We start from the raw sequence: 9,563 nt of genomic DNA on the forward strand, positions 1-9,563 counted from the left end.
GTCTAATGAACAATTTTAAAATCTCGCTGGATTTCTTGCTCCTGCTACAGCCCAAAGCAGTTCAGTTTCTCCTTTCCAAGGGATGACTGAGGAACCTAGGTTCCATCATATTAAACATTTTGATTAAAAAAAAAGGGCACTGTTGTCTTTCAGTCAACAGAAATGTGAGAGAGAGATATAAGTGAGGTTGGTGGGGCTTGAAGAGACATATCATGTTTATCATTTAGCTCACTATTAAGGTTAAAAATCAACTATATGACTCTATTAAGAAGCAAGAAAAAATGAGAACTGAGGGAAAAATGAGGGAACTATAATTTAGCTATTTTCTAGGCATAGAAAATCGATTCAGTCATCACATATCATGTCTGTATATCTGTGTCCTGGCTACCTGGCTACTTCACACTTTCCCAAGCAAGACTAAGACAAAGTCTCATTGAGTTACTCTGTCCTACCAAAATACAGGATCTCCATGTGTCCTGGAATCCTTCCCATGTAGTTTGTGATTCAGATATAATTCCTCTGGGTCTTGTAACCTACAGACCAAAGAGAAATGTTACCTCCTCGCATGCCCCTCACGTATATTACATACTATTTAAGTTTTTAAAAACTCATGTGAAAAGAAAAGAATGTAAGACACAACTAAATGGTCCACGGCAATGTAAAATTCTCTCAGCATCAGACATTATGAATATTTCCAATGCATATTGAGAGAATAAGAAATTCAGTGACTCATAATTATAGAAGTTGAGGACTTGAACTCTTTAGGCTGGAGTGTTAGTTTTTATTGACAACATAATTATTTTAAAAGCAATTTACTAGGCTTCCAATCTATTTACTACCACCTAGTGCAACTTGGTAGTTATTAGGTCTTTCTTAATACAGTCTTCAAATTCCTTTTACTCTTTGCTTTGATCTCTTTTCTCCTCTCTCCTTCTCTTTCCCCTCTCCTCCCTTCCCCTATTTTTTAACTTAATGGTGGCTTTCTTGAGGGTCTCAGGCTTTTTTAAAAAATGGCTGATATTAGGATGGTGGAAAAGTAATTGAAGTTTTAGATCATGAATTTTAAATAATTATAACTAGGCTCAAACACATTTTTATTAATCAAAATAGGAACCATTACAATCAACACATCTTTGCCAATTAGAAATAGGTTTCCTTATTCCTGTAGCATAAAAATCCATGCTTCAGGATTTGACGCACTCTTGGAAAGCATTTTCTGCATTCTGCTCGTTGTGGAAGCATTTTCCCTGCAAAAAGTTGTCGAGATGCTTAAAAAAGTGGTAGTCAGTTGGAGAGAGGTCAGGTGAATATGTCGAATGAAGCAAAACTTTGTAGCCCAATTCATTCACCTTTTGAAGTGTTGGTTGTGCAAGGTGTGGTTGAGCACTGGTATGGAGAAGAATTAGGCCCTTTCTGTTGACCAATGCCAGCTGCAGGCATTGCAGTTTTTGGTGCATCTCATCAATTTGCTGACTGTGCTTCTCAAATGTAATGGTTTAGCCGGGATTCGGAAAGCTGTAGTGGATCAGACTGGCAGCAGACCACCAAACAGTGACCATGACTTTTTTTGGTGCAAGTTTAGCTTTGGAAAGTGCTTTGGAGCTTCTTCTCAGTCCACCGACTGAGCTAGTCATCGCTGACTGTTGTATAAAGTTCACTTTTTGTCACATGTCACAATCCGATCAAGAAATGGTTCATTGTTGCATAGAATAAGATGACACTTCAAAACACCTATTTTTTTTTCATTTTCGCTCAGCTCATGAGGCACTCACTTATCAAGCTTCTTCACCTTTCCAATTTGCTTCAAATGCCAAATGACCACAGAATGTTCGACGTTGAGTTCTTCAGCCCCTTCTCATGTAGTTGTAAGAGAATCAGCTTTGATAATTGCTCTCAGTTGGTCATTGTTAATGGCCAGCCACTGTGCTCCTTATCTTCAAGGCTCTTGTCACCTTTGCAAAACTTTTTGAACCACCACTGCACTGCACATTCGTTAGCAGTTTCTGGGCCAAGGGCATTGTTAATGTCGTGAGTTGTCCAAGCTGCTTTACTGCCCGTTTTGAACGCAAATAAGAAAATCGCTCGAATTTGCTTTTTGTCTAACGTCATTTGCATAGTCTAAAATAAATATAAAATAAACAGCAAGTAATGTCACTAACAACAACAGCAACAACAACAACAACAACAAAAACTAAAGGAGAAATGCACATTAAAATGATTTATAACATAACCGCATTTATTTAAGAATGTATTCCAATACCAAATGGCAAATTTCAACAATGCAAAAATTACAATTACTTTTGAACCAACCCATAATTACCATTTCAATTACTGGTTCTCAATGTACCTTTTTGCTTGAAGAATTTCTCAATCTACCCTCTACCTACTCTTTAAGGTATAAAAGAAGTTAGTTTCCCTATTCTCTCAAGGTGGTAACTTCTGGGCTTCATCTATTCCCTTGCAACTGGTCAATTCTCTCCTGAACACATCTCTATCTTGTATTATTTTGCAAAATGCAGTTTATAGTAGCCAGTAGCTCACATTTTGATTCTGTGCTACCAGTTCTCCTAGCTAGATCTGCCAATTATTTGACAGGTACATGGCATGCCTTTAATATTTCAAAAGGAAAATATCAAATGTATTTCCACTGCATTACATTCCTGTCTCTGGTAAAATTCCCTGGCCATTCAACTGCTAATCCAATGATATTCATAACCTTTCCTTATTTTTGCTACCACCCTCTATACTGCACTGATCAGGGTAATTAATTCCACCTATTGCATCAAATAGAACAAAAAATGCTTTAATTTAACAAAATAAATATGCTCTTAATTAAAGTTAGGGTGGTAAGTGCTCTCTGTTCTAGGCCTATTTGAGGACATAGGCCTACAAGTGGTTCTGCCATTTACTGGAGCTTTTATCTACTGGATCTTCTACATCTATAGCTGAGAAGGACAAAGACAGATTTTGAGACTCATAGGAGAAGTTTTAGAGGCCAGAACTAAAATTAGAAAACACTGCTATCAGCAACATTTCATCTGGTAGCTCTGGTGACATGTCTCCTGCTTGGCTACAAAATGCAAACTTCCTGTATGCTGAAAAGCATATTGAAATATTGAGATAAATGCATAGTATTATCTCTGTCTCATGATAGGGTCTAGAACAAGATATGCAGGGTGTCTTTAAAATTTGAGATTTCTGGTTTGGGGTTTAACTTTTTTTTTTTTTTTTTTTAGCTTTATCCTCTAGCAAAAGCCACTGCTGTCTACAAAACAAAACAAAACAAAACAAAAAACATGGTATGAAGTACCTCTATTGTTACCTTTGTATGTAATTCTAAGTCCTAAGTCTGTCACCCAGACTGTGTCTAGCTTCTAAGCAGCCTTCCTGTGAACATGTGTTGGGTTATGATTTACTCTTGTTGTGTTTTACAGTCATCTGAATTCACCTATTTTCTATCTATAATAGTAATTTTGTGTGTTAACTTGACGTGGGGGGGGGGGGCATGGTATGCCCAGATATTTGGTCAAGCATTATTCTGGATGTTTCTGTGAGGGAGTTTTGAATTTGTATAACATTTAAATAGACTGAGGAAAGCAGGTTACCCTTTCTAGTGCAGGTGGGCCTCATTCAATCAATTGACAGCATGACTAGAGCAAAAGGATGACCCTCATCTGAAGAAGAGGGAATTTCCCCTAAGTGATTGCGTTTGAATTGAGACATATTTCTTTCCTGTCTTTAAACTTGAACTGAAACATCAGCTCTTTCTAAATCTCTGGCTGCTGGCCTACAGAGTAAAATTTACATAATCAACACTGGACGCTGGAAGACAGAAATAAATGGATAAAAACCAAAAGACACATTAATGAAATGTTTACAACAACAAAAACAAAAGTAGTGATGGAATATTAACATACATAACTAGTAGTATTTTTTATCATGTTCCCTAGAAGCACATCGCATTATCACATTAATTTATTCTTTCTCTCTTTCTGTCTCTCTTTTTCTGTCTTTCTTCGCCTGTCTGCATGTAGTAAACACTCTGTCCGCATGGGAGAGCCAAGTAATTTATCCAAAATTGCCAGTAACTTGGTGACTAACAATGTTTATTTCAAAGGTGCAATCTTACTAGTCTCACCTGGCTGGAAACTCAAAATCCATGCTCCAGACAGCTGTATCAGTAAGGTATGGGCTACTTTGATCTTTATTTCCCTGATAATTTTAACCAATAGGCAAAAGATTCCCAACTTGGGAAGAGAAAGGATTAATACAATTATGCTTAAAAGTTTTGGTGAATAGTTTATGAATCTGGAAAGGTAACTGAGAAATAATGAGTAGAAAGTGCAGCTTTTCATGCAGACTTGACCTGAAAATCATATGGGTATTGCTCTTCAGCATTGTACCCTATGGTGGCCAAATTGCACAATCATGAGCTCTGTAATTCCTTACCATCGGGATACAAAAATTGTGATGATAGAATCACTTTGGCCTGTTTTTCTCTTTTCAAATAGAATTTCTTTTTACTCTTGCATTTCAAAGTCAGTTATGTTTCTTTTCCCCCATTACTATAGCATTATTGTACATGTTAGAAACATATCTGAGTTTGTTGGAGACCTAGTGGAAAAATTTAAAATACATAGAAAGATGGTGAGGGAATGGGGGTGAGTGAATTCTACATACTAATATTAATAAAGGGAAGATAGTGTGAATGGATGATGAATAATCAAAGAGGTGAACTATACTAGGTGTTAGAGGTTAGTTTATTTATTATTCAGTCCCAGTAATTTCTCACATGATTCCTCGACTATGGAGATTGGAACACTAGAAATTCAATTGCCAAGTTTGTTATGCTGCTGGACGTATGTACATGACACCTTTTGGAAAAATGAAACAGAAGTCAAAATATGGTGGAATTTCTTGGGAAATATTGCTTGCTATCACATGGAACACTCCTGTCTTTCTTCTCCTTGTTCTGGCCTATAATGTGAACATGAAGTTAGACATGTGGAAACTATGCTGTACTCATGAATCCTAAAGCATGAAGAAACCTGTTGACACTGTGGGATAGATATTAATAAATACAGCCTGTTTCCTGATGACATTCTTGATTGTTTAATTAGGCCTGGGCTTCTCATTCTTGAAGTTCTTTTTATGAGATGTTGTTTAATTCATATTTAAACATTTTAAATTTTTTTAAAAACTAAGACACAAACACACACCTTAGGACATGCCTAAACAAGGTAAGGATCATCAGTATAAATGCCTTCCACCTCCTAGAAGGTCTTCAGAGACAGTATAAGGAACGAAGCTCTCATCTCCTATTATAACAGTACCTTCTTCTGGAATACCTCCTGAAGGATCTGCCTGGTGCTATTTTATAATTAACTGTTTTTAATATAAGTAATATATTTAAAGTAATATAATATTACTTTAAAGTAATGATAAAAAGTATCATGTCATAGAAGCATAAACCAGTAACATAGCCATTTGCTATCAAGTATTATATATGATACATAATTGTATGTGTTATACTTTTATACAACTGGCAGCACAATAGGTCTATTTACTTCAGCATCACAACAAACACATGAATAATGCATTGTGCTATGACTTTATGACAGCTACGATGCAACTAGGCCATAGGAATTTTTCAGCTCCATTATAATCTTATGGGGCTACCATCATATATGTGGTATGTCACTGACTGAAATGCCATTATGCAGTTTGACTGAAAATAAATTAATTGACATTATGGTATAGTTTGAGATGAAAATAAGTAATAAAGGAAAATTTAGAATGTAAACCAAACATAAAATTCTAAGCCCTCCCAACCACCTGAATGGACCCCTCCTCTTAGCCCAGTGCATTCCAAAGTTAACCTGAAAAACTAGCTCAGGCTATGATGGAAAGGAGGGGTTGGACATGCCTCATTATACCCTCCTCTTTTGGAATTTAGGCACAACTCACCAACATTAACATTAAAACAGAGACTTTAAGACTGAACTGACAAAACAGACTCTTTGTAGCAATAAGATACCAACATGACAGATAGCAGGCCCTGAAAGAAACTGAAGTATTTTACCCATGTCGACAAAAAGAGTCACATTCTGTAAAATATTTGAAGATACTTATTCTGAGCCAAATATGAGTGATCATGTCCCATGACACAGCGCTCAGGAGTGTGTCCTAAGAACCTGTGCCCAAGGTGGTCTGGGTGCAGCTTGGTTTCATACATTTTAGGAAGGCATGAGACATTAATCAAATACATTTAAGAAATACATTGGTTTGGTCCTGAAAGGTGGGAAAACTCAAAGCCGGGGGACTTCCAGGCTATAGGTAAATTTAAACATTTTCTGGTTGACAGTTGGTTGAGTTTATCTAAATTCATCTGATCCATAGAAAGGTAATTTCAGGTTAAGATAAAAGATTGTGGAGACCAAGGTTATTCTGAACTCTTACAGTGGTTGCTCTTAGAGACAATTGATGACAAATGTTTTCTACTCAGATCTTTAACAGGTGCTAGATTTTAGTTAATCTCTTTAGTATTGGGAAGGCCTAGAAGAAAAAGATTTACCTATTTAATAGAGATTCTTTACAGATGCGAATTTTCCCCCACAAGGGACTGCTTTTCAGGGCCATTTCAAGATATGGCAAAGAAACATGTTTTGGGGTAAAATATTTTTATTTTCTTCCTTGTAATAGTATGCCAGAGTCAGGTTGGAAAGTAAATCATGATACATAGAGTTAAATAAAACCCATCTGATGAGAATTTATGGTTTGTAGGGCATGACTACCCAGACCACTTAGACAGGAATTTGGGCAAAAAACAAATAAACAAACAACAACCAAAAAACAGAGCTTAATCCTCCCCCTCAAATATATTTGACATATTTTGAAATGGTCCTACAAAGAAAACAATAAAACAAAAATAAAATCCAGAAAAACAAGTGCCCTAATTTTTCAGAAATTTGTACTCCGATATTTTCTGACAAGATAAGAGAATTTCAATATTTATTTGTGCCACATCTTTCAAAGAATTTTAAAGAGAATATTGTCCATAAGTGTAATCTTCCTTTACAATAATTTATTTCCTTCCTTCCTTTCTTCCCTCCTTCCTCCCTCCCTCCTTCCGTCTTTTCCTCTCATTCACTTTCCTTCTTTCTTCTTTTCTTTCCTTCCTTCCTCTTTCCCTCTATCTCTCTTTCTTCTTTATAAATACTTTTTAATCCTCTGTAGCCTCTTCAGAAAAATTTACTAGAGAAAACATTTAAACATTCTAATTTGTAGCCTTCCAGATTTTTCATAACTTCTTCCAACATTTCTATTTAGAAGCTATTTTTCTTTTCAATATTTAGACACAGTTAATCTGACTTTAAAAACGGTTATGAGTCTCTCCACTTGCTGTATTCCCCAAAACAAAGGATATCATGAGATTTATGCAACAAACGAGAATTCTTGTACTATTCCAAAGACTCTGATGCTGTTTCTCCTCCGCTGCTCCCATTTTGCATTATAAAAAACTCAGGCAAAATAACCCTGATCACAATTCAAGTATCATCTCCACACAGATTTCTATATGGTAATCTTTGATAATATGAGTTCAATTTGTTTACGCTTTGATCTCCTTATTGCTTTTATCCTCCTGCCTAGTACTAATTCATGAGGACAGAAAACACCTTAGAATTTGTGTGAATAGTAGCAATTTGGACTCAAATTTATCTATCTTTACCGAACAATTCCATATGTCCTTCTCTAAGCTCACCACCTTTCGCTATTCCAACTCCACAACTGCCATGACTGCAGACTTGCTCTGGCAACAACTGTCCCACTGTTTACACCTCCATACACTCCCAGTACCTATAAGGCCTTTTGTGTTGTACCTATAAGACCATGTTAGAAATTTCTCTCCTCATAATGCCTACCCCATTAAATCATACACGTCTTATAAGTGACCATATCCTACCCAAATAATGTATGAAACATCCTTGTATATCAGAACTCACACAGTACATTGCTACATGTATACATATTAGTTGGGCAAAAAGAAAAACATATTTATCAAGATTTGTACAGGAAAGTGAATTCCAATAAAACAGAACTGACCACAAGAGGTACAATTTAGGCTACTGTTAAAAGATATAACTTTTACCATGAAACATTATATTTCCTTTATTTAGTTTTAAAATTAATTATAAAAAGCTAAATATTATTTTAAAGATATTATTTTTTAAGAAATCATTTTTCTTCTGTTTTCCGGTTCCAACCTTCGCACCCTGGGACTTCGACCGGCCCAGGATTTCCACCATTTTATCGAAAATGCTAAATATTGGCAGTGCCAAGGACGTCTGAAGATGGTAAACCATTCCTCCACAAAACCACAGCTCCCCTGCGACCCAGGTGCTGGTAAAGGGTAACAACGTAGGAGGCCCAATCCCCTCGCGCTTCTCAGGGTCCCCGGCTTTCCGCCCCTGTGCCAGACGACGGCGTCCTAACGGCCACCCTCTCCCAGGAACCTCCAACGACGGCGCCAAAGCCACAGGAGCCGCCTCCCACCTGAGGCCCGCACGCCATGTTCTCCCTTTTCCCGACCCGTAGGGGCGCCCCACTTTGGCCATGCGCTTCCCGCCCGCACTCGCCGCGCAGCCATGAGGGGCGGGCCTCAACTCACCGTGGCCAATACGGACCGCTGGCGCGGGGTCTCTGAGGGAGCGAAGCGGCGAGCGGGCTGCAGGCCGAGCAGGGCCATGCGGCGGTAGTGGCGGCAGACAGGACAGAGCCCTGGCAGGAGAGGCACAGCACGTCAGGTGAGACAAAGACAGACGTGGCCAGGGGGACAGCACACGTGAGGTGAGGCCACGTGGTGCGAGCTCCAGGGCTGGTGAGGCAGCTGGTTTGCGCAGGCACCCCAGCCACGAGGTGGCGCCCTGCCCTCGCCCTGCCCCGACCCTTCCGCCCAGCACCCTCTGCTCTGCTCTGCCCCTTCTGCTCAGCACCCCCTGCTTTAACCTGCTTTTTCCATTCAGCGTCCCCTGCGGCCTCCCAGCCCTCATTCACCTCACTTTCCACCCGCAATGTCCTACCCACTAAAAAACTCTCTTGCCACCCTACCCTGGGCCCGAACCCCACCCCACACTAATTATCTCTTTTCTCCCGGGTAAGGTGAGGGACTTGGCACCCCTGCCCCCTCCCTTTGTCTTCCTCTTTACCTATGCTTCATATGCCTCTCAACATGCCCTGGCATTGGCAGAGTTTATAGCACACTGTTCGCTAATGAGAATTAAATCTTCCGTAAAATGTCTATATGTTAATTCTTAACACTGAAAACCAAGAACAAGTTTTTGTAGTCTGCTGATGATGTAAAAAATATTCATGGTAGGGTCAAATAGTGTTTGGACCCAGTAGAGAAGGTGATGTAGTTATCTGTCACTAAAGCTAATTTTCTTATCATTTATTTATTTATTTTTGTAAAGACGGGTCTCACTGTCACCCAGGCTGATCTCAAACTCCTGGGATCAAGCCATCCTCTTGCCTCGGCCTCCCAAAGTTCTGGGATTACCGGCATG

At 38.7% G+C, this 9,563-nt stretch overlaps 1 long non-coding RNA gene across 2 annotated transcripts; it reads right to left on the reverse strand.

Moving 5' to 3' along the window:
- Positions 1 to 394: 394 nt before the first annotated feature.
- Positions 395 to 8,922, reverse strand: LOC105375975 (histone-lysine N-methyltransferase SETMAR-like). Of its 2 annotated transcripts, none has more exons than XR_929479.1 (2): positions 8,669 to 8,922; positions 395 to 533 (listed from the first exon to the last, which is right to left on the reverse strand). It is a non-coding gene; the product is annotated as a histone-lysine N-methyltransferase SETMAR-like (long non-coding RNA). The 2 variants fall into 2 exon arrangements; XR_005646972.1 differs by lacking the exon at positions 395 to 533 and adding an exon at positions 1,209 to 2,118.
- Between the last annotated feature and the right edge of the window lie 641 nt (positions 8,923 to 9,563).

Source organism: Homo sapiens, chromosome 9 (genome assembly GCF_000001405.40).
Source record: "Homo sapiens chromosome 9, GRCh38.p14 Primary Assembly".
NCBI lineage: Eukaryota > Metazoa > Chordata > Mammalia > Primates > Hominidae > Homo > Homo sapiens.